This window comes from Homo sapiens, chromosome 2 (assembly GCF_000001405.40).
Source record: "Homo sapiens chromosome 2, GRCh38.p14 Primary Assembly".
Lineage (NCBI taxonomy): Eukaryota > Metazoa > Chordata > Mammalia > Primates > Hominidae > Homo > Homo sapiens.
This window is the reverse complement of record NC_000002.12, coordinates 197,066,532-197,092,652: the sequence shown is the minus strand read 5'-3', so window position 1 is coordinate 197,092,652 and position 26,121 is coordinate 197,066,532. Positions and strand designations below refer to the sequence as shown.

The 26,121-nt window shown below is 38.9% G+C and overlaps 1 protein-coding gene across 19 annotated transcripts in view; it reads left to right on the top strand.

Moving 5' to 3' along the window:
• ANKRD44 (ankyrin repeat domain 44) overlaps positions 1 to 26,121 on the top strand; it is a 343,767-nt gene that overhangs the window by 218,128 nt on the left and 99,518 nt on the right. For 8 of the 19 annotated variants that reach the window (XM_047446287.1, NM_001195144.2, NM_001367497.1 and 5 more), the window contains exons 11-16: positions 2,621 to 2,703; positions 3,879 to 3,942; positions 5,905 to 5,973; positions 9,144 to 9,284; positions 10,928 to 11,008; positions 13,839 to 13,950. In XM_047446287.1, the coding sequence (XP_047302243.1) occupies positions 2,621 to 2,703; positions 3,879 to 3,942; positions 5,905 to 5,973; positions 9,144 to 9,284; positions 10,928 to 11,008; positions 13,839 to 13,950 (550 nt within the window). Of the gene's footprint in view, positions 1 to 2,620; positions 2,704 to 3,824; positions 3,943 to 5,904; positions 5,974 to 9,143; positions 9,285 to 10,927; positions 11,009 to 13,838; positions 13,951 to 14,942; positions 17,785 to 22,687; positions 22,824 to 26,121 lie in introns of those variants that run through there. The other 11 variants (XM_005246948.3, XM_005246947.3, NM_001367495.1 and 8 more) reach the window with 5 other exon arrangements.

Here is a 26,121-nt window from a genome sequence, read left to right as displayed (position 1 = left end):
TGAGCAAATTGCATCACTTGATGGATGCCAGCTGTTATACACACTGGGCTGGAATCTCCATATAGGGAAAGGAAAACAAACAGAGGGAAGACCGAATAAAACCACCGTTAAATAGGAAGAAGCTATTATGGAAAGAGAAAACAGTGGTTAATTGCTGTCAGAATTGAATTTTGCAAAACCCTGAATACCATGAAATGTCTGTGAATGTGTATATCCTTTTTCACAGTCACACACACATCATCATAATAACTTTTGAGATGGTAAATAAAATGTATGTACCCAAAGCTTAACAAATTCAAATCATATGTGTTTCTTTATGAAGCATGGAGTCTGAAAACGGGCCACTTTGTGCCAGAGAGGAGACTTAGGTAATTAATGCTGTAGGGTGTAAACAGATATAGTCCCATACTTGCTTGTATTATGCAGAAGATTTTAAAAGGCTGAAATGTATTATTTGATTAAAATAAGATGTTATGAGAAGTGGTCACTAACATTATAGATGCTTACAAGTACACAGGAGCCACCTGGTGATGCTGTTTATTATGAGCCACAATTCAGCACATGGCTTTGGGTCCTTGCTGAAGAAGATGTAGTAGGGAAGAGGAGGAGCATTTAATCCCGAAGGCAAAAAGTGCTGCCGACAGAAGACGTCTGTCCCTTAAGGGGTCATCCTGGTGACTGTGTCTTAGTGGGGGTCGGTCTATAAAGTCCTTTTCTAGATTTTCTCTTAAATACTACTAGATTTATGAAATATATGCAAAGTAATGTTTATTACCTCCAATTGTGTTTTTGTGACTGGTATTGTGATGTGGGTTAATGTGCAATGTAAAAATCTATTAGGAAGATGAAGTTTGATCAGCAAAAGGCAAACATTAGTTTTTATTCTTATCCAAAACTTTATTTTCAACAATATAGCCATTATTAACTCCTAGCAAAGTGCTTGGGACATAATACCACAATAATATTTGTTTATCAAATCAAGAAATAAAACAAGGACTGAGCGTGGTGGCTCATGCTTGTAATCATAGCACTTTGGGAGGCCAAGGTAGGTGGATTGCTTGAGCCCAGGAGTTTGAGACCAGCCTGGACAACATGGCAAAACCCTGTCTCTACAAAATACACCAAAAAATTAGCTGGGTATAGTGATGTGCGCCTGTGGTGGTCCGAGCTACTCAGGAGGCTGAAGTGGGAGGATCACCTGAGCCCAAGGAGGTCAAAGCTGCAGTGTACTGTGATTACACTGAAGCAGGATATTTCCCTGACCCCTTTGTGGGACTTGAGACAGGGGTACCTTGTTTACTCAGCCTGCCACTCTCAACTCCTTGCTGGAAGGAACGCCTGAGCAAATGAGCATGGGAACTGGGGTGAGTGAGTGCTGGAACCAGCTGGCTGCTTTGGCACGGGCAGGAGTGAACTCTGTGCAGGCTCTGCAGCAGCATCCAGGCGGGGGTGCCTGCAACTCCCAAAGCCCCCTGAGGGCATGTTACAGTGCGCTTTGATGTCTGCCGTCCACGGTTGGCTTAAATGTTAACAGCTCAGTGGGCCCTTTGCCTTTTTGCATAAGGCAGCTGCCCTCCGCCAGCGAGGGCAAAGGGCCAGCGTGACAGCCTTTTATATCTGCACTTGTGGTTCCTGAGCTCTTGCTTGGCATCCAGGAAAAATGAGGTCTCATGAACAAATTGAAGGATGGTAAACACAGGGGATTTTATTGCCAATGAAAGTGGCTCTCAGCAGGAAGGGGAGCTGAAAAGGGGATGGGATGGGTAGATAATCTTCCCCTGAAGTCCAGCTGTCTCTGGCCAGATTCTCCTCTGAAGTTATGCCATCAAACTGTCTCTCTCAAATCAAGCTGCTTCTCTCTGACGTTCAGCCATAGTCCTGTCTACTAGCTGAGTCTGGGATTTTTATAGGCACAGGATTTGGTGGGGGAGGGCCATGGGTAGTTTAGGAAAAGGCAACATTTGAGTGGGAAAACAGGGATATAAGTTCTCACTTTGGGGCACAGTTTCAGGCTTTTCAGCTTGAGAGTGGGGTTTTGCTCAGAACCTGCCCTTTTCTGCCTAGAATTTCTCTGCCCCCTGCCTCTATCATTGTATCAGCACCACTGCACTCCAGCCTGGGTGACAGGTGAGACTCTGTCTCAAAAAAAAAAAAAAAAGTGAAAAGAAAAAAAAGAAAGGAAACAGGTTGCTTTTCAAACTTGAGTTTGTCTTGCTCAGTATTGTTATATCCAGCCCTTAGCATAGTCTATGATGCTTAGAAAGTGTTGAATAGATGAATGAGAGAATGAGACATACAATCACCAAGCTGAAAGAAAATGACAGGGAAATTAATTTTACATTTAAGGAGTCATGCTTTATGTGAAACAGATTTTCTTAAAAATATACATTCCTATGGTAATGGGCTTTTAATTATGGTTTTGATTCAGGCATTTATTATTTTAAGGTAGAAACTGATTGCATAATTATTTATTGAATGGAAGAATTACCAAATTATTTCAGCCAAGACTCCCTACACAAGGTGTTGTTAATTTTCATCAGAGAATCTAGAAAGGTAATTGTCCTTCCGCATGTATCTTGAGATCTGTTGCCGTGAGTTGCTCTGTTTTCTTACTCCTCAGGTGTGGAATCCATAGCATGTTCCCTTTACATTTAGCTGCCCTAAATGCTCACTCTGACTGCTGCAGAAAGTTGTTATCATCGGGTAAGTAAATCTGTTAGCAGAGATGAGGCTTAATGTGTCCTGTACATGAGTCAATGGCTTCAGGTGTCTGGTCAGAGTGAGTGGCTGCCTGTGCTTCATGTCATTACCTGACTCGTCAGGATGAGTTGTATTTCTCAGCTAACTGCATGTGACAGCTCCCAACAATCCTTGGTGTTAAAGCTGTTTGAATGTCATTATTCCTGCCCCAGAATGAGAGTCTTGCCTGTTTTTCAAGTAAAAGCTTGGGTGTTCCAGGGTGAAACATGGCAGGGATGGCCAGAGTTTACAGAAAGGTTACATCACAGAAGAAGGAAAAGTCTTTGAGGTTTAAAATGATGGTTTAGCATTTAATATTTTTCAACAAAGGAAAAAGGCCAAATACCCTACATCTGGTGGTAGAGAATGTCATGTTACTTTCCCACTCCCTGGGCACTGAAAAATCACTATGGCTGATTTCCTCCAACTAGGTTTAATTTCAATTTTTAAAATATGAGACTATTTGGAGCCAAGAGATTGTTTCTGGTTTGGAGCTTTGCTAATCTTTCTTATCACTACCTCTGCCAACTGTCATATATTAAGAAATTCCTGGGCTTTCAAAAATGGTAGAGGTCTGCAAGGCAAAGATTGTTTATGAATTAATTCATGAGATATCCCAGAGGCATTTTTTTTTCCTTTAAGTACTTTACCTATGGCTGATTCTGCTTTCACTGCTGTTGGCATGTTTAAAAAATAATCCCTGCATGCAAGCATGTTTCCCAACTCTTAAACCAACTGAAAGGTTGAAATACACTTCAGAAAAAAATCTGTTCCAGCATGCTAAGATTATTCCTTTGCTTCTATGTTTTGTCCATGAGTTCTATCTGCCTGTCGATTGCCCTACTTATCTCAAATTGGTTTCATAAATTTCTATCCTGGGATTAAAAAATGGGACTGTGGTTCACCCAGGGCTGAATGTGAAAATAAATCCTTCTTGACTTCACGGTTCTTCCTATAAAATTGCCAAGCTTGAGCAGTTCCCATTCGTTTCCATGACAACCTCTTTCTGACTACAATTGCTTGCATTCTGGTTTTTCTACTAACTGATTTTTCTGTCTCTGCAATGTTTCTTGTGGTTTAACTAGGACAAAAGTATAGCATAGTATCCTTGTTTAGTAATGAGCACGTGCTGTCTGCAGGCTTTGAAATAGACACCCCAGATAAATTTGGAAGAACGTGCCTTCATGCTGCTGCTGCAGGAGGGTGAGTAGTTACCAATTCTAGTTAATTTATGAGTTACTAATTCATCTTTATTGACTTGACTTAAGTTGTCTGTGAATCAAAGGCAATTTCCTTAGTAAAATAAGAATCATTTCTACTAATTATCAAATATCACTATGTTATATTTCCACATCACAAGCATTTTGTTTCACCAAAGAAAAATTATTAGCCCATTTCAAATAGCAAATAGTTCTTCTTTTGTTTTCTTCTTTCTCTTTTCTTTTTTTAAATTATAGATTTTCAGGCTATAGAATACATATCAGTTACCCCATACACCAAAAGACAATAATTTGAAATTTGTTCCTAGGTTTTTCCTCTTTTGTTGCTGTTATGTGGGTGATAATCAAGAGAATCAAAGATTGAATTAATTTATGTTCATTTACAGACATTTTTGTCCTTGTTTCAAATCTAATTTTTAGTCTTTTAATGATTAAATGTGAACATAGGTCAAGAAAACCCAAAAGACAGGCAAGAAGTGATTTAATCCTTACCTTTTTTTAAAGTTGTAAAGAGAATTTTTCATCAGCTACTTTCTTTTCACTTACCAGTGGTAAGATTGAAGCTCTGATCAATGTCATTGATATATGTGACCACACATTGACTAAACATGGCATCTCTTGGATGACCTTGTTTGGGGAAGATGTTGGTTCTTAATCAGTTTCCTGGTCCTTAAGGAACAGTAATGCTTCTCCATTTGTCATTTGTATATTACCAAAGGCATTACCTATTTATCAGAGGTGGATAAATGGTGACACTTTAGGGCTCCTTATTTACATGAGTCCCTTCTGAATTCTTATAACTAAATTTGTATTCATAATTTTGTATTATTTTTAAAAAAGACCCCTTCCCCCTACCTCAGCCCCCAAATTGTATGAGCTTCATGAGCCACACAAGTTGGATCTGCCACTACCCTTGATCCTTTGGCATCATTCAGTAAGAGACAGGTGCTTTATATCAGCTGGCATGCTACACCAACACATACTTATTTTAAAAAGTTCTTACATGTTATGATTGAAAGAGCTATTTCTCTGAGAAGGTGGCTATAAAGGGTGGGTGTGGGGTGAGGAGAGCCCTGCTCAGGTTTATCATTGAGATCATTTTTCTTATTTAAGTTATAGTAATAATTCCAGGCCACTTCTAGCATCCTAAGTTTAGAACAATGATGGACAATTGTCTCTTTTGTATGCTCACATTTAAAAAATATCAGACCTGTACAGAAAGTGACAACATACAATTCCAGATTCATGTCTGAAATTCCTATTAGAATTACTATTTAGCTACATGCCCTTTAATAGGAAAAATCACTTTGATGGGTCCTTTTCTCTCTACTAAATATGATTTATTGCTTCTGCAAATGATAAAGAAGCTATGGAAGATCACTGTGCTCCATGACATCATTTTCAGCCTTGGTTCTGCACATTTATTTGCATAAATTACAAAGACAGGGAAATACAGTTGTTTTATTTTCTATTAAGGAGTATCTGGGTTGAAAGTGGTTATCATGGTGAATTCATTCTGCTGTGATAGAAGGTAACGCCCATCCACTCTGGCTCATTGTTTAAAGGTGACATGAAATTATTATAGGTTTAAGTGGTTGTTTCATAAACTCTTGACGGTTTTGGAAAAAGAATTTTAGGATAAATGATGAAACCATCACTGGAGGGTTTAATCATGTAATAATCATTAAATTTCTTAGTCATGGAATTAAAAATATTCCACCAAGCTCTTTAATCTATTGATTTATTAGCTTTGAAAAAGGAATCATAGGAACTTTAGATCCTTACAATATGTCATTACTCTAGTATGTTCAGGTTTTTATTAGCGGAATTTAGACCAGGAGCTATCTTTTCATCTGGTCCTGTACTCTGCAGAAAATAGCTCTTGCTGAAGATAGGCCAGTAATTGATCTCTTCCATCTTAATGATGTTTTCCCTGTCTTTCTAGTAATGTGGAATGTATAAAACTCTTGCAGAGCAGCGGAGCAGATTTCCATAAAAAGGACAAGTGTGGGAGGTATGTAATCAGAGAGTTGTGCTTCAAGTGCTTAAATAAGAGGAACTGGGAGTGGTCTATGTAGTAATCAAGTTAGGTTGAAATGGTAAACCGGGAAGTTAGCTGGGGGGATTCCATCCTCCTCGGAAGGAAGTCCCTTCTCATAGAGGTTGCCAACAAAGCAAATAACAAGTCACAAAGAAAGCATCTCCACTCACAGCTGCTGTTTAGATGTGCCAATTGTCTCCCTTTTTTTTTTCAGTTAAAAGACAAAACAAAACTCCTACATGGATATAGTTTGGAAAATTCTGTTTCTAGCAGAGTGGAACACATAAATCCTAGTCTTAAGATCTAGAATATTTTATTATATGTATTGAACATTTCATCTTGGGATGAATTTTCAGACATGTTTAAAACATTAAGTGCACACACACCACCAATGGGTCATAGAACTCTTCTTACCTTAATGGTCCTTTATGTAAGTAAATGATGCCATGATGCTAGCTGGTACATGGATATATATTTTTCATGTATATATATAATTTTTTTTCCCATTGCATCTCTTTACCCTTCCTTTCTACATGTACCCTCCTTCTCTGGGGTTGCCACAAATTTCTCTTCTTACCAACTTGTCTAAGGCAACTCCTACCCGCCCTTTCAGATTCATGTCAGTGACACCTCCTTGTGCACCGATGGCATGCCCCTCTTCTCTGCTCCCCTAGCACCCTAATCCTTCATGACTGCAGAGTACCTCACACTATTCTTATGGACTCTCACTCCTTGTGTCTCTCCCTGTTATGGGAAAGGGGTCCCCATCCAGACCCCAAGAGAGGGTTCTTGTATCTTGCGCAAGAAACAATTCAGGGCGAGTCCATAGAGTAAAGTGAAAGCAAGTTTATTGAGAAAGTAAAGAAGTAAAAGAATGGCTACTCCATAGACAGAGTAGCTCCAAGGGCTGCTGGTGGCCCATTTTTACGGTTATTTCTTGATTATATGCTAAACAAGGGGTGGATTATTCATTCCTCCCCTTTTTAGACCATATAGGGTAACTTCCTGATGTTGCCATGGCATTTGTAAACTGTCATGGGGCTGGTGGGAGTGTAGCAGTGAGGATGACCAGAGGTCATTCCTGTTGCCTTCTTGGTTTTGGTGGGTTTTGACCGGCTTCTTTACTGTGACCTGTTTCATCAGCAAGGTCTTCATGACCGGTATCTTGTGCCGACCTCCTGTCTTATGTTATGACTTAGAATGCCTAAGCATCTGGGAATGCAGCCCAGTAGGTCTCAGCCTCATTTTACCCAGCCCTTATTCAAGATGGAGTTGCTCTGGTTCACATGTCTCTGACATCCCCACCTGACTGTGAGCCTCCTCAGGACAAGAACTGGGTATCATTTTCTCCCTATCTTTGGGCCCCGTCGTGAGGTTCTTACCTAGTAATTTTCAGTCTAATTAAAACATATGCAATCTAATATGTAAAGTATTTAAAATTTCTTTTGAACCAAAGAGGAGAAAAATCAACTAGTGAGAGAGCCCATAAGTTGACTATAAAATATGAAATAATTATACTTGAAAACTGATCATTTGTTTATTATTCTTTGACTATCAGCTGGTCATACCAGAAAAACTGCTGAACAATCGAGAGCTAAAAATAAGTAATGTACAGCAAATTACTTTATATTTCTGTAGTCTTGCCCTTTACGAGGTGCTTGTGTTTTCTGATACTAACACTATGAGGTATGTGGGGATGCTGTTACCCCTTTTAATAGATGAGAAAGCTGAGTCCAAAGAAACTAAATGATTTATACATGTACACAGAATTTTAGACCTAGAAGGACCTTACAGCCTTTATCTTTGGGCTCTGTCATGAGGTTGTTACCTGATAATTTTCAGTCTAATTAAAACATATGCAATCCAATAGGTAAAATATTTAAAATTTCTTTTTTTTTAACTAAAGAGGAGAAAAGTCAACTAATGAGAGAGAAACTAAATGATTTACACATATACACAGAATTTTAGACCTAGAAGGACCTTAGGTAGGGCACAGTAGCTTAAAAGTTCTTGTTGAAATAAGGGTGAAGAAGTCAAGACCCAGAGAGGGGATGTGATTTAGGCCAGCTTGCACATCTGCCAATGCCAGAACCCAGGGCTTCTGATTTGGATTTGGATTCGGATTCTGCATTGTTCTTCCCATTAACCAACATCCCTACCCTCAAGGAGCTTGCAGTTCAGTGGGGAGGATGAGACAATACACCAGTGCTAAAATCAAGGCAATATGTGATGAGAACTCAAGACAGACCCAGAGAGTAGATAAGCCATCTTAGACAAACTAAAGAGAACTAGCCCCTGGGACAAGACGATGAGTGGGGTTTTGATGGGTGGAAGTGATTCGTGAATGGGCACTCCTGGGGCTAAACCAACCTGGACAAAGGTAGGGGGGATGTAGGGACATGATCCAGAAAGCCTCAAGTCATCCAGTTTGGTTATCCTATTGGGTACATCTAGGGGAGAGAGATACCCCATCAAAGGAGATTGGGACCAGTTTTGGAAAGTCTTCAATTCTAGGCTGAGGAATCAAGTATTGGTTAGTAGAGAGAACCAAAGGTTTTAGAACATGATTGTTATATGTGGGTATTGCACCTTAAAAAAAATTCTTCATTTACATTAACTAGAAATTATGGACACTTGATTAGCGCTAAGGAAGCCAATAGGATGGGCTTGCAATGATCCAAAAAAGCAATAACATAGACCTGAACTAGGGTAGGCTCTAGGAAGGAAAAGAAAGGACAGATCCATGGTAGATGGCCTTGTTTGAAGCCACTGTCTTTGTAGCCTCACTTCCAGTTTATACAGGTTAAGCACCCCTCATCTGAAAATCCAAACTCTGAAATGCTCCAAAATCTGCAACGTTTGGGACACTGACAAAATGTTCGAAGGAAATGCACATTGGAACATTTTGAATTTTGGATTTTTGAATAAAAGATGCTCAACCATCCAGAACACTTCTAGTTCCAAGCATTTCAGATAAGGGATACCTAACTTGTATAGTTGAAGGAAGGCATGACTTTGGCCTCCACACACTCTGAGAGTCCAAGAGCTTTCCATGCCCTAGGCATACTGCTGCCAGTGCTAGTGCCAACAACAGGCCTGTTTTCTAGACTGAATGGAGTAATAAATTGCTGTTTGTTTTTCAGGACCCCTTTGCACTATGCAGCTGCGAATTGTCATTTCCACTGTATTGAGACATTAGTGACCACAGGGGCCAACGTTAATGAAACAGATGACTGGGGACGCACAGCTTTGCATTACGCCGCTGCATCAGACATGGATAGAAAGTAAAAACAGCCTTGCTCATGCTTCCTCTGGGAACAGGGTTGGGGAGTGGTGGGGAAGGATTGCTAAGTTTTCTTCATACCGCCTCATGGAAAAAGAGTTAGACTAACCCAAAAGAGTTAGATTTGCTTAATTCCAAACCTGGGCTTTCCTGTTCTGGTCAATTTATGTTTGATTATTACATGTCACTGCACAATAACTTCTCTGTTCTTTGGGTTGAATCCCAAGTGGAGCTGTCAAGCTCAGGTTTATGGTTCATTCAAAATCTGTTTTAATTTATTTTGACATATACCGTAGTTTTCATCGTCACCACTTAAATGCTTCATTTGCTATAAAACTTACATTTGCTAATATATATGTCATATGTCAAAAACATCCACCCATGCATAATCCCAACAGCCTTTAAATTCAGCATTAGTACATGTAAACTAGGCACCATTGCTCCAAACCTGGGTATGAATGCCCTTTCAGGAGCTAGAGGAGAGGAAGTTGGTTGCTCAGGGCATGTTTGGATTCTAGGTGCGTAGGAATAGAAAACAGAAATAAGTGAACTAGTTAAAGGGAAAAAGGTTGGAGAGATGCCCACAGTTGATGAAATTGTTCTTAGAAGCTTAAGGAAGGGCTTCCTTCATAGGAATACTTTTTGATGACCTTGTTTGAAGAACTATTGAATTATTTGCTGCCTTGTGCTGTGGAATTGATTCTGGGTCAGTGGTAATTGCTTCTCTTGTAGAGCAATGGCTTTTAGATGGTGACCCACAGTGAGAAGTAACATCTTACAGTCATGACCCCATATGCACATTCACATATATATAGTTCATATAGTATGTAAAATGGAAATAAAGTTTTCATAAAATCATATTTACTTTTACCATGTGTGATGCATTCTGACATTTTCTCTGTTTCATTAGATAAAAAATCTTGCTGACTACAACCCATTAAGTCGATTTCACAATTCAGTAATGGCTTATGATCCATAGTTTGAAAAATACTGCTTGTTTCCTCTTCATAGTTATATAATAAATCAAAATAATAATATCAGATGTAGCATTCTGATCCCTTAGGCATGCAGGTTATAAACAGACATTGCTTAACAAACATTTATTGAGCATCTACTATGTGCCAAGCTCCAGGCAATTCATTGGAATAGATTGGGGGTGGTGAAAAGGATGGGGAAACAATATACTTCATCTGTCAAGAGCTGGAAAAGGAATTCTGGATGATGAAGAATTGTTCTGGCAGACGAAGGGTGAATAGGACCCCATTTCTGGACAAATGAGATGCTGAGCTGGCAAGGAGGCAGTGGGGAATGTGGTAGGAGTCAGAGAAGTTTTAGCTAACTCACTTCTTTACTTGGGAAGTTTAGGATGTTTATAGAAGGGTGGGCAACTTGATTGTTACCTTAATTGCTGATACTTAAGTGGAAGTTTTAAGAAATCATATTCCAGTTGGATCCTTGGGAGAGAATAGATTTACTGGATGGCTTTGGAGAGAACCATGTATATCTTCAATGAAAATCAGTGGTGCTTACTTCTTTTGGGTTGGGGTAAAAATCATTGAGATATAAATTGCACCAAAACCATTAACAGCTTTGCCATTTAAAAAATTAATTGCAATTTTTTTTTCTATCCTTTATGCTGAGAAGTAAGACTATCTTAGGAAATGCCCATGATAATTCAGAAGAACTTGAAAGAGCCAGGGAGCTGAAGGAAAAGGAAGCCACACTGTAAGTTTCTTCTCAGCTTAAGAACAAGGTGCCATTTCTGACGCTTCTTCTGCTTTTCTGAGTTGCCACGTTGCCTGCCTTACTATTTTGGGGTTTCACTTGGGATCTTGAGGAAGTGATATGGGCTTGCCTTTAATGGGGAAGAAACTATTCTTTTAATACAGCCTTCAATTCTGCTATTTTCACACAGGGAACTTTCTAAAATTGTACGCTTTGCTTCAGCCACCACTGTGATTGGTCAGCAGTTTTTAGGACCTGGTGTCCTAAATATCATTCTAACTGCGATGCATCATGTACCAAGGAAGACAAACAAAGACTCCTCTCAGAGGCTTAGGTTCTGCTCTTATGACCTGGGGACATCTATTTAGCAGATTCTATTTTAAAAGGTCTTAATACTTCGGTGTGAAATAACCATTTGTGCTTTCCCCTCACCCCCAGCCCACATGCACATCAATTTAGGAAGAGCCTCCTGCTCCTGCAAAAGGATGCTCCTGGGCCCCTCATCCCACCTGCCTCTCCCTGGCTTCTAACAGAGACGTAGCTCTTTGCTGTGGCAGGGGTGGGAGTGCCTGCCATCACTCAGGGCTGTAGATGCACGGGAACCTCTACAGCTTCGTCCTCTGAGTCTTTTCTGCACCACAGGTCACAGTGAGAAGCTTACAGTGCTCAGTGCAGTGCCTAGCACATAGTCAATATTCAATAACTGTTGAGTAAATGAACAAACAAACGAATTGGTACCCACTCCTTGTGCCTCACCCCTGTGGAATCCAGTGGATATGGTGCTCTATGAGTCTGCAGGCACATCGTTGTTAACTTATTTATTCTTCCATTGTTAGAGGAGCCAGTTTTTCTGTGGCCCGAATGCCTGTGTCTACTCCAGGGTTTTCCACTGTGCTCCTCCCATGCCCAGACTGTTGTGGAAAGGAAGTTAGAGAGTGTGGCTCCAATGCAGGTTGTGGGACCTAACTTCGATGGTAATTGGGATGAGGACAGGAAATGCAGCAGTGAATAAAATAGAATGACCAGAGTTTTGCTTTAATACCCCCAAATTTAAAATAACAATATTAAAAGACTAGCATCTTAAGCCACTGCAGCAAACGCTTCCTTTTACAGTGAACTGCAAGCTTGCCCTGAGCCAGACAAGCTGATAGAGAGGGAGGGGACAAGAAAGGTAGGGGGGCAGGGGGAACCAGCTGCCTGAGAGTTCTTCTATGCAAAGGGAGGCCACTCCCTGTATCCAGATACGCCTCTGACGTCATGTGCATCTGTTGGCTTTGCATCTTAATTGCCAAAATTACTAGGCTCTGGGAAGAGAAAAAAACTAGGCATTCCCAGTGAAAACACGGAATGCATGTTTTCCTTACAAGCAATGTGGAGAATATGCAAATTCTACATTACTTTTATTATAATAATACTGTTGTTAGTATATATAGTTTGGCTATATTACAAATTCAATTTATTAACTGATTTTTAGGATATAATCCATTCAGAAATTGGGAATTGTGTGTCCACTAGCATGTTATTCCTATTGAGTGATTTCATTTAAAGAGTCAAATTCAATTTACAGTGAGTCATACCTGGGATCCTTTCCATGGGCATTTAATTACCAAAATAAAAAAGAACTTCCTTCCTTATAAGGTGCAAATGACCGAAGAGAGAATAATAGCAAGACTCTAAGAATAGTTTGATTTATTATTGACATGTGGGTATTTGGTTTTTTTAAAATGTATGGCTTTCATCAGTTTTTCTAGAAATTGAAGTGTCTGTTTTAATTGTCCCTATGTGTAATTGACTTTTTTCGTTTTGCCTTATACCAAAAGATAGGTAAATGCTATTTATAGTTTTTGGGTAAACTATAGAAATTTTCTATTGGAAGGTCTTATTTAATGTATGGGTTGATATTTAGAATCTTAACATTTTGATTTGAGTATGAAATTGAATCAGCTTGGTCTTGTAAAAGACATGTTTGTCCCACTGCCACAGGGATAATGCTGATGCTATGAAGCAGCGCTTCCTGACTAGTGACTCCCTCTTTCCCAGCAGGACTGGACCGTTTGCAGTAGGCCCTGAGCAGAACTTATTACATTCCTGGGTACTTGTGAACCAGAGTTTTGGGCTCTTCAGTGAAGGTGGAGCCGTGCTCCTTCCTCTAAGCATTCCAAAGACTGTGGCTTTTTCAGAAAAATTACAACTCTGCCTGAAAAGGCTTTAAACATTGATTTTTCAGGTCTATATTCCTAATGGTGAAATTTAAGCCTCTTTATTCATATGTGGTTATGAAGTTAATTCTTCATTCTTTAAAAATGCTTACCCATTCCTTTAATCTTTTTATTGTTTAGGCTATTCTTATTTTTTTTTCTTACTCTTTTTAACTTTCATTTTCTAACCTTTGATTTTATGGTGAGGTTAAGAGTAAACCCCTCCCTATTGAGGTTGCCCTGTTACTTGCCCTGATACTGACCACTTCTTTATTGAGACTTTGTTGAACATGGAGCTCCAAAACTTGCTATTCAGTAATCTTGATAACAGATGTTCTTACCTGAAGATGAGGAGAAAAAAATCGTAATTACCCTCTTTTTCCTAAAGCTTTTCCTGAATTCTAGAATGGCTATATTAAGCTCAAATAAAGATAGCTACAGAAAACATACACACACACACACACACACACACACACAATTTTCAACACATAAAACTTCATTGCTGTAGGATTTTTAAAGAAACAAACTCATAAAGTACTTCATGGAACGTTCGTAATAGGAGGATTTACATAAATTATCTTTTTCAGTCCAGAGATGTTTTCTAAAATAACACTTCATCTTTATACTTACAGATGTCTAGAGTTTCTGCTTCAAAATGATGCAAATCCATCTATCCGGGACAAGGAAGGTTACAATAGCATACATTATGCTGCCGCCTATGGGCACAGGCAGTGTCTGGAATTGGTGAGTTGTTTTGTTTTGTTTTCTCTAACACACACACACACACATACCCCAAATCACAGAGGCATTAACTGTTTTTTTCCAGAGTTGTAGCTCTGGCTTGTGTAAAAAGTGGGTCCATGAATCAGGATTTCATGAATTCTGATTTCAAAAAGTGTTTTTTCTACTGCACCATGCTGCCTTCCATTGCAGGTTAGAGCCCCACCACCACCCAAGGCTTTTAAGCACAGCACAAAAGCATGGTAGTCATCGATATAAGGCAGTACCATTTCTGCCTCCTAACACCAGCATTGCCATGGAAGTTGGTATAGACCTATTAGCAAATATGGCTTTGTGTTTAGATCCCATATAAGAAATGCTCCTCACAAAATGTGTATGCGTGTGTGTGTGTGTGTGTGTGTGTGTGTGTGTGTGTGGTAATCAGTGGCAGAGTGAAGGCTTTCTACTGTCACTACATATTATGAGCCTGCCTTCCAAAATATACTTAAGACACAGCTGTCTTTAATTGGTTTTCTCTATGAAAACCATGTCATAATTGTCATGATAAAACAAACTTTTATTATACAGTTTGTTATTATAGTCTTAATAATGTGTGCTGTTCTATAGTACTTTTGTGAGTTATCTTTAATCCTTCATAGTCTAGAAACTCAGGATAATTATCCTAACACCTTCTTTGTATAGAAATAACATATCGCATGCAATATCTTCATTTTTTCAGGAAGACCATTTTGGTACCATTATTTCTGTTATTCAAGTAAGAGTTTTTCCTGTCCATAAGAAGGTTTCACAAATTTTGTCTGAAAATGAAATTACCCCCCTTTGATTAGATCAACATTTGCCCTGTGTAATTTACAAAGAGATGACTATTTGTGACAATTATAAAACATTCAAAAACGGTTAGGAGGAGGTGTTAATTGATCTTAATTTACACTGTCAGTCGAACAGACCGGATTATCAATATAATTGGTAGAAGTGTTACTGTTGTTTGCTTTCAGGAAAGAAACCTCAGTCAGCCGTTTGTAACACAGGATGAAAGTTCTCCTCTCACTTTCCTGAATGGTTTTAGTGGGACAGAAAGTTTTATGTATTCCTATTTTGGAATGCATCCCAAAATTCCTCTGGGGTGTAGTTCGTACAAAGCAAAGATCCTAAGTAGGCTAAAAACATTCTTATGCCCCAACCCCTCCCAATCAAAACAAAACACAACCCTGAAAACAATCCTGGACTTTCCCCTAGGAGTGGAACCACAAATCAGGCCTTTGCAGGTATCTTATCCCCACTGCTGGCTCACCTAACTGTGGATGGATTAGAACAGGAGATAAGACAGGAGGAAAGGGTTCTGAAAGGAGGGAAAAGGGAATAGGGCCTGTCTTTGATACAAGTGTTAAGTGAATTTCAAAAGAAAACATATGTGTGGCCATAAGCGTATGAAAAAAAGCTCAGCATCACTGATCATTAGAGAAATGCAAATCAAAACCATAATGAGGTACCATCTCATACCAGTCAGAATGGCTATTAATAAAAAGTCAAAAAATAACAGATGCTGGCCAGGTTGTGGAGAAGAGGGAATGTTTATACATTGTTGGTGGGAGTGTAAATTAGTTTAACCATTGTGGAAGGCACTGTGGCAATTCCTCAAAGACCTAAAAGCAAAACTATCATTCAACCCAGCAATCCCACCACTGGGTGTATACCCAAAGGAATATAAATCATTCTAACCATAAAGATACATGCATATGTATGTTCATTGCAGCGTTATTTACAATAGCAAAGACATGGAATCAACCTAAATTCCCATCAACAGTAGACTGGATAAAGACAGTATGGTACATAGATACCATGGAATACTATGCAGCCATAAAAAAGAACTAGATCATGTCCTTTGTAGGAACATGGATACAGCTGGAGGACATAATCTTTAGCAAACAAACACAGGAGCAAGAAACCAAATACTGCATGTTCTCACTTATAAGGGGGAGCTAAATGATGAGAACACATGGACACAAAGAGGGGAACTACAGACACTGGGGCCTACTTAAGGGTGGAGGGTGGGAGGAGGGAGAAAATAAGAAAAAATAACTATTTGGTAAAAGGCTTAGTACCTGGGTGGCAAAATGATCTGTACAGCAAACCCCCATGACACAAATTTACCTATATAGCAAACCTGCACATGTACCCCTGAACCTAAAAGTTTTTTTAAAAACCCCAAAACAAGTATTAAATGAAGAAGTGGGGTTTTGAGGGGGATGCTTTTTCTCATATATTTTCCCTCTTTCTGTAGGAACCCAATATCTTAACAGTCTTTAAAACTCCAATTTCCTTGGGTATTAGATGTTAGGAAAGCAAACCAATTAACTTACATGCACTAGGAGGTGAATTTCTAAGACTTTCACATTGCCATGCCAATCTTCTTCCTCATCTCCCAACACAAATAGCCGTCTTCGCAGGGGTCATCCTTTTAACAAATTGTCCCTGACTCTGTGCTTTGTGCTAGAGTTATGTTGACAAAGAGACACACATCTGGTAGCTCTTCATAGGTTATTTGAGCTTCTGAGCAGGAATTGTGCAAGGAGATCATTTTTGACTCCACCATCCCAGCCTATGCTTCTGGCCTGTGGAGGGAATGGAGAGAGTAAATGAGTATGTGTGGTCCTCTGGCCTTCACTACCGGTCCAGGGACTTTGTCCTCTGGGCGCTGGAGTAGGATTGAAGAAGATGGGGGGCCATCTGGACCAGCTGATTTGTGAGGCTGATGAAATGTGTCTTTGGCGCCTCCTCCTGTCTACTCAAGCAATTACAGTGATTATACATATCATTAAATATGTATCATTAAATTTGATGTATATTTTCTTTGACTCTGACACTCAGCTTGGTCTGCGTTTACTTTGGCATTCATGGTTTGTGGCTCCTGTCTGTGATCGTAAGCATGGAATTTATAAACCACTTTGTGTTCAGTCCGTTTTGCTGTAATCAAAAATAAACAGAAATTATTATAGTTGTTTTAACTTTACTTCTATTATACAGACTTATATTTAATTAGTTCCATGAGGAAAAAAGACTTCTAAAAGGTAGTATGAACCCCTTAGCCTTGATAGAAATAGCCAAGGTTGAGAATTCTGCCAAGTCTACCTATTTAGGCCAGTATTCTCAGCTGGTCTTGATCAAAGACGTTCGTACTATGTGTGCAAGCAAAAATCTGCCCACAAACATGTACTGAGAGCTGTGATCAGTCATATTCAATTGGGCTCAAAATATCAAAGCAAAGTGGGGGAGACTTGGCTAATAAAGCTTCTTGTGTATGTTTGAGTGGAGGAAGGGTATTGGCAAAGGAAAGTTCCAGACCTCCCTTTTCCTCTATCTGAAATGTATTCTTACTGGCTCTGAAAAGAAAAATCAAGGAATCATGCCCCTATTTGGAATTTTTGAGTTTATATTGGTTTATTTTATATTTTTTACAATATTAAAGATTTGTCCATGAACATAAAGATCTTTGAGGCTTTTTTATTGAAATGGAAAAATGTGTGTGCCAATGTAATTATGTAAATTGTCTACAAAACTTAGAGAGATTGAAAACTCTAGGCCTCTGATTACTTTCAGGCTGAGATTTTTTCATGCCAAATCACTTGGAATTTGGCTGCTTCTCTGAATCTTCTCCCCTGTTCAATGATAGGAATGAACTTGAACTTCAACTGTGAGAATAAGTAGGGGTGACAAATGCCCCTACTTACATATTCTAGGAGCTTCTGGGATTCTCTGAAGAAAGACTGAAAGCAACTGTGTCTTGGGCAACTCAACACTAAAATTATGCTGCTTTCAAATAAACGACTCAATGTTTTAGGTTGTTTCTTGTGTTTATCACCGGACTTTAGAAAACCATTACCACCCGGCTCTGAATAACTATATGTGTCTGTATAAGACAGACTTATGGCCAGGTGCAGTGGCTCACAGCTTATAATCCCATCACTTTGGGAGGCTGAGGTGGGAGGATTGCTTGAGTCCAGGAATTCAAGACCAACCTGGGCAACATAGCAAGACCTTGTCTCTACAAAAGTATTTTTAAAATTAGCCAGGTATGGTGATGTGATGTGCACCTGTAGTCCTAGCTACTCAGGAGGCGGAGGCATGAAGATTGCTTGAGCCCAGGAGTTTGAGGTTTCAGTGACCTATGATTGCACCACTGCAGTACAGCCTGGGTGACAGAACAAGACCCCATCTCTTAGAAAAATAATATGGACTTACATTGGCAATGTGTCATTACGCCTCTCAAGACTAAGAAAGCAGGTAGAGAAAAGCATTTAAAAAAGGAAAACTACTGGGTGGTCATCTAAGGACAAGAAAATGAAAAATCAGTAAATTTGAACCCCAGCTCCAAACAAGTCTCTGATGATTGTTTTCTCTCCTCAGAGGTCCTGCTAAGAGAAGGACTTGGGTTGTGCCTGACCTCCCAGCAGGCAGCCTGCCAAGGGGCAGTGTTCTCTGGAAACCTCAACAATGCTGGTCTTGTGTTTTCTTCTATTTAATTCAGTTGGAGAGAAACATAAAATCCTATGAGGAACTCTCATTAAGGGCGAGGGTGGGGGTGAGCATGGATATTTTGATACCACTGGCATCCTCTCAGATGTGAATATAAGTTCACAAATTTTGAGTTAGAATTTGGATGTAAATCTATATCCAAAACAGTGGAATAGACAATTTTTTATGATAAGATGTTCCATTTTTTTTGTAATGTGGCAGAAAAAATTTTGGGGGCTTTACCATGAATGAATTTGGCAGCTGATGAAAGAACAATTCAACAGGATGTGTTAAAATAGAACATTTCAGTTTTGCCTTCAGTTGAGGGCCTAGGACACTGGGGCATTGCCTCCACATTTCAAAGTGAGATACTGGTGCTTCAACTCATGGCCCCCTTCCCCATTTCTAAAGTCACAGTTGGAAAGAACAAGAAGTTAGAGATTAGAGAGAAGGCTTCTTTGGAGCTAGCTCTGCTGTGAATTCTACCACCCCTCATAGTGGAGGAGATAGAATGCCTTCTCTTGACCCCAACCTTAAGGGAGGGAAGCTTCAGGGAGATTGCTTAGATATCTTATTTGTGTCCCACACAATTTAGGGAGCATGCCAGACTGGTATATGATAAATCTGAAGACTAAATGGCTCTGACCAGAACTTGCTGGCCAGGCAGCTAAATAAGAAGAAGGCTGTGTTTGGGAAATCACTCCACTCTCAGAAATGATGGGTCAAAGTATATATTTCCCAATGTCCAAATGTGAGCCAAGGGCCAGAGCTAGCCTGGGGTTCTCCTTGATCCCACTCGGGAAGGCTGCGTGGAAGAGTCAGGAGACCCAGGATTCCTAGTGTGGAGAGGGGAATATAAGTTACCAGCAGGAAGGTCCATTCACCCAGGCAGAGGCACTGCAGGTGAGACACCCCAGTGATGGTGGAGAACCTAATTCAGCATCTAAGAGAGGGACAATTGTAAACATCTGGCCTGGTCAGAAGACATCACTGCCAGAAGGGTGCCAGTCAGACCATTGTCCCTGCTCCTAATGTGTCTTCCTTTGCCTATCCCCTTTAGAACTGGAGGAGGCAGAGGCAGATGAGGAGGAGGAGAAGCCCTAGGTTGGGGAACAGAGAAGTCAGCCATGTCTCGTTACCCACTCAGTCTTTAGGGGAAGGCGGGAAGGAGTTTTAATAAGTTTAACAATGTTAGGAGTCTGTGATTGTCATACTGGAACAGATGTATTGATTGCTGACATGAAGTTATGTTTTAAACTAAAGTGCCTAGAGAACTCTTTATTATTTGTTGGAGATTTTGCATGAAGTGGCAGGAAAAGAAGTAACCTCATAAAGGAGATCGGACCTAGTATAGGGAAAAAGAGAATAAATGTATTATTTGATTATATCCATGACTCGCTGGTTCAGTAAATAGCTAAACACTTAGTCATTGTTTCAGGAAAAAATTAATGCTGAGCTCTAAGGAAAAATAAACTATTATCCTTTAAACATTTGCGGATTTAAATATCAACTTATAAGGCATTAGGTTCTAATACTGTCAGGCACTTATCAGGTGCCAAAAGTTGTTGAACAAGTGAAATACACTGTGAGTGACTAAGCTTTATTTAGTGATAAAACATCAATGCTAATTTTTAAGTATATAGCAACTGTCCTGTTTGTTAGGAAGGTATTTCATAGAAGATGGCAGGTGAGAAAAGAAATGAAAATTTGCCTTTCTGTGGCCTGGACTTTTCTTTAGATTTGATTACTTTCCAATACCAGCTCATTTTATTGCAACTGGTCCTCCATGTTTTCTTCTTCAATAAAAACCTATACTAACATGTCAAACTGGTATAAAGACATCACATACACACACATACACATATGTGCACACATTTCTCTGTAATTTCTTCCAGATGGATAGGGAGCACTAAGAGGTTCAAGGAATAGGAATTATTGCTTCTGATGTGGAAACTTCTAAGGACTCAGTGATGTCAGAAAAAGGAAGATTTTTTGTTTTAAAGAGAAGGCAGTTTACAAGTCAACCAAAAAAATAAGTTAATCTGGCCCACCCTCCTTTCCTCCCCCTACCCTCCCTCCTCCTTTCTTCCTTTTCCTTCCTTCCTTCCTTCCTTCCTTCCTTCCTTCCTTCCTTCCTTCCTTCCTTCTTTCCTCCCTCCATCCCTCCCTCCCTCTCAGTCACAAACCCACTAGGGAAGCCTGAGCAGAGCAGGAAGGCAGCCCAGTTGGCACTGAGGCCGCAGGAGGGAAGTCAGGAAGGCAGCCTAGTAAGGGTTGGAACCCCACTCAAGGAGAGTGTCCTAAATATGTATGCCCCAAACAACAGAGCTACAATATATGTGAAGCAAAAACTGTTAGAATTGAAAAGATAAACAGAAATACACAATTATAGTGGGAGACTTTAGCACCTCTCTCTCAACAATTGGTAGAACAATGAGACTGAAAATTGTCAAGTATATAGAAAAACTCAATAACATAATCAACCAAGAGGATCTGATCAACAATAAGAACACTCTACCCAGCAACATGAGAATACATATTTAGTTCAAGTGCCCATGAACATTCACAAAGATAAGCAATATCTTGAACCATAAAACAAAATTCAAAAAACATAAAAGAATTGAAATCATATAGAGCGTGTTTTCTAGCCATAATGGGATAAAACTAGAAATCAATAACAGAAAGATACCAGGAAAATCTCCAACACTAGGAAATTAAAACCAGACTTGTAAATAATTCATGAGTTAAAAGGAAAGCCTCAAGAGAAATTCAAAAAATATCTTGGACTGAATGAAAATGAAAGTACAACAAAGTGAAATTTGGGGACTCAGCTAAATTATGCTGAGAAAGAAATTTTTAGCACAAAATGGTTACATCAGAAAAGAGGAAAGTCTCAAGTCAGTAATCTAAGCTTCTACCTCAAGAATCTGGAGAGAGCAAATTAAACTCAAAATAAGCAGAAAATTGATATAAAGATGGAGGCAGAAATAAATGAAATTGAAAACCAGTGAAGAAATTCAATGAAACAAAAATCTGGTTCTTTGAAAAATCAGTAACATTGACAAACGTGTAGCTAAGAAAAAGAGAGAGGAAACATAAATTAACAATATCAGGAATGAAATAGGGGATATCCCCATATACCTTACAGATATTAAAAGGATAAAGGAATATTATGAATAACTCTGCATACATTGACAACTTGATAAAATAGACTCATTCATTGAAAAACACAAACTACCACCATTTACCCAGTATGAAGTAGATCATTTGAATAGCCCTTTAACTATTCAGAAAATTAAATTTTAAAACTTCCCCTAAAGAAATTTCCAGGCATGGATGATTTCACTGGAGAATTCTACCAAATACTTAAAGAATTAACATAATTCTACACAGTCTTTTCTGGAAAATAGAATACAAGAGAATACTTTCCAATTCATTTATGAAGGTAATACCTTGATATTAAGTACCAAAGACACACACACACACACAGAGAGCGAGAGCGAGCACAATGTCTTTCATGAACATGAATGCAAAAATCTTTACAAATTACCAAATAGAATTCAGTGATACATGCAGAGAATTATATACCATGACTAATGGAATTTATTACAGGGATGCAAGCCTGTTTCAATATTTGAAAATCAGTCAGTGTAATTCACTGTATTAACAGGCTAAAGAAGAAAAATCAGATTTATATCAACCAATGCAGAAAACACTTTTGATAACATTGAGCACTTCAAGACAATAAAACAAGCAAGCAACAACAACAACAACAAAAAACTCTCCTAGAAATATTAGATAGAGGGGAACTTCCTCAACTTGATAAAGAGCATGTAACAACTTGATAAAGAACAGCTAATTTACTTAACGGTAAAAGACTAAGTCAAGGATGTCTTCTTATACCACTCCTATTCAACATTGTGCTGAAAGTTCTAGCCAGAACAATTAGGGAAGAAAAGGAAATAAAAAGTGTACAGATCAGAAAGGAATAAACAAAACTGTTCCTATTTGCAGATGACATCATTGTCTACATAGAAAATCCCCAGTAATCAACCAAAAAATCCTAGAAGTCATAAGTGAGTTCATCAAGGTCACAAGATATGAGATAAACGTATAAAAATCAATTGCATTTCTGTGTACTAGGAATGAATATGTAGATACCAAAATTAAAAGTACAATATTATTTTCAACTGCCCCAAAAAATTGCTGTCAATAACTCTGTGCTTAGTCCTAGATCCAAAAGACGTGTGTTGAAACCACAAAATGCTGATGAAAGAAATCAGAGATCTAAAAAAAAAAAAAGGAGAGACATTCTGTATGCGTGGATTAGAAGACTCAACATAATGAAGATGCCAAATTAATCTGTAGGTTTAACACAATTCTTATCAAAATTCTAGCAAGGTTTTCATAGACGAATGAAAGATTTTTCTAAAATTTATATGGAATAGCAAAAGAACTAGAAAGCTAACACAATTCTGAAAAAGAACAATGTGGGAAAAATCAGTCTACCTAATTTCAAGAATTATTATATAGCTTGAATATATAATATATATTTTATACTACTGTGTCAATACCTGACAATCTTGTTAATATCTTACCCAGTAATCAAGACTGAAGTATTGGCAGAGTGATAGGCACAATGGAACAGAATAGACAGCTTAGACATATACCCACAAAAATATGCCCAACTGATTTTTAACAAAGGTGGAAAAGCAATTCAGCAAAGAGAAGGTCAATTTTTTTTTATTATACTTTAAGTTCTAGGGTACATGTGCACAACGTGCAGGTTTGTTACATATGTATACATGTGCCAAGTTGGTATGCTGTACCCATTAACTCATCATTTACATTAGGTATATCTCCTAATGCTATCCCTCCCCACTCCCCCCACCCCACAACAGGCCCCGGTGTGTGATGTTCCCCTTCCTGTGTCCAAGTTTTCTCATTGTTCAATTCCCACCTATGAGTGAGAACATGCAGTGTTTGGTTTTTTTCTCCTTGTGATAGTTTGTGGAGAATGATGGTTTCCAGCTTCATCCATGTCCCTACAAAGGACATGAACTCATCCTTTTTTATGGCTGCATAGTATTCCATGGTGTATGTGTGCCACATTTTCTGAATCCAGTCTATCATTGATGGACATTTGGATTGGTTCCAAGTCTTTGCTGTTGTGCATAGTGCCACAATAAACATATGTGTGCATGTGTCTTTATAGCAGCATGATTTATAATCCTTTGGGTATATACCCAGTAATGGGATGGCTGGGTCAAATGGTATTTTTAGTTCTAGATCCTCGAGGAATCGCCACACTGTCTTCCACAATGGTTGAACTAGTTTACAGTCCCACCAACAGTGTAAAAGTGTTCTTATTTCTCCACATCCTCTCCAGCACCTGTTGTTTCCTGACTTTAATGACTGCCATTCTAACTGGTGTGAGATGGTATCTCATTGTGGTTTTGATTTGCATTTCTCTGATGGCCAGTGATGATGAGCATTTTTTCACATGTCTGTTGGCTGCATAAATGTTTTCTGTCTGTTCATATCCTTTGCCCACTTTTTGATGGGGTTGTTTGTTTTTTTCTTGTAAATTTGTTTAAGTTCTTTGTAGATTCTGGATATTAGCCCTTAGATGAATAGATTGCAAAATTTTTCTCCCATTCTGTAGGTTGCCTGTTCACTCTGATGGTAGTTTCTTTTGCTGTGCAGAAGCTCTTTAGTTTAATTAGATCCCATTTGTCAATTTTGGCTTTTGTTGCCATTGCTTTTGGTGTTTTATTTTTTTTTATTTTATTTTTATTTTTTTTTTATTTTTTTCTTTTTTTTATTTTTTTTATTATACTCTAAGTTTTAGGGTACATGTGCACATTGTGCAGGTTAGTTACATATGTATACATGTGCCATGCTGGTGCGCTGCACCCACTAATGTGTCATCTAGCATTAGGTATATCTCCCAATGCTATCCCTCCCCCCTCCCCCGACCCCACCACAGTCCCCAGAGTGTGATATTCCCCTTCCTGTGTCCATGTGATCTCATTGTTCAATTCCCACCTATGAGTGAGAATATGCGGTGTTTGGTTTTTTGTTCTTGCGATAGTTTACTGAGAATGATGGTTTCCAATTTCATCCATGTCCCTACAAAGGATATGAACTCATCATTTTTTATGGCTGCATAGTATTCCATGGTGTATATGTGCCACATTTTCTTAATCCAGTCTATCATTGTCGGACATTTGGGTTGGTTCCAAGTCTTTGCTGTTGTGAATAGTGCCACAATAAACATACGTGTGCATGTGTCTTTATAGCAGCATGATTTATAGTCCTTTGGGTATATACCCAGTAATGGGATGGCTGGGTCAAATGGTATTTCTAGTTCTAGATCCCTGAGGAATCGCCACACTGACTTCCACAATGGTTGAACTAGTTTACAGTCCCACCAACAGTGTAAAAGTGTTCCTATTTCTCCACATCCTCTCCAGCACCTGTTGTTTCCTGACTTTTTAATGATTGCCATTCTAACTGGTGTGAGATGATATCTCATAGTGGTTTTGATTTGCATTTCTCTGATGGCCAGTGATGATGAGCATTTCTTCATGTGTTTTTTGGCTGCATAAATGTCTTCTTTTGAGAAGTGTCTGTTCATGTCCTTCGCCCACTTTTTGATGGGGTTGTTTGTTTTTTTCTTGTAAATTTGTTTGAGTTCATTGTAGATTCTGGATATTAGCCCTTTGTCAGATGAGTAGGTTGCGAAAATTTTCTCCCATGTTGTAGGTTGCCTGTTCACTCTGATGGTGCTTTTGGTGTTTTAGACATGAAGTCCTTGCCCAGGCCTATGTCCTGAATGGCATTGCCTAGGTTTTCTTCTAGGGTTTTTAGGTGTTAGGTCTAACATTTAAGTCTTTAATCCATCTTGAATTAATTTTTGTATAAGATGTAAGGAAGGGATCCAGTTTCAGCTTTCTACATATGGCTAGCCAGTTTTCCCAGCACCATTTATTAAATAGGGAATCCTTTCCCCATTGCTTGTTTTTGTCAGGTTTGTCAAAGATCAGATAGTTGTAGATGTGTGGTATTATTTCTGAGGGCTCTGTTCTGTTCCATTGGTCTGTATCTCTGTTTTGGTACCAGTACCATGCTGTTTTGGTTACTGTAGCCTTGTAGTATAGTTTGAAGTCAGGTAGCATGATGCCTCCAGCTTTGTTCTTTTGGCTTAGGATTGTCTTGGCAACGCGGGCTCTTTTTTGGTTCCATGTGAACTTTAAAGTAGTTTTTACCAATTCTGTGAAGAAAGTCATTGGTAGCTTGATGGGGATGGCATTGAATCTATAAATTACCTTGGGCATTATGGCCATTTTCACGATATTGATTCTTCCTACCCATGAGCATGGAATGTTCTTCCATTTGTTTGTGTCCTTTTTTATTTCATTGAGCAGTGGTTTGTAGTTCTGCTTGAAGAGGTCCTTCACATCCCTTGTAAGTTGGATTCCTAGGTGTTTTATTCTCCAATTGTGAATGGGAGTTCAGTCATGATTTGGCTCTCTGTTTGTCTGTTATTGGTGTATAAGAATGCTTGTGATTTTTGCACATTGATGTTGTATCCTGAGACTTTGCTGAAGTTGCTTATCAGCTTAAGGAGAGTTTGGGCTGAGACGATGGGGTTTTCTA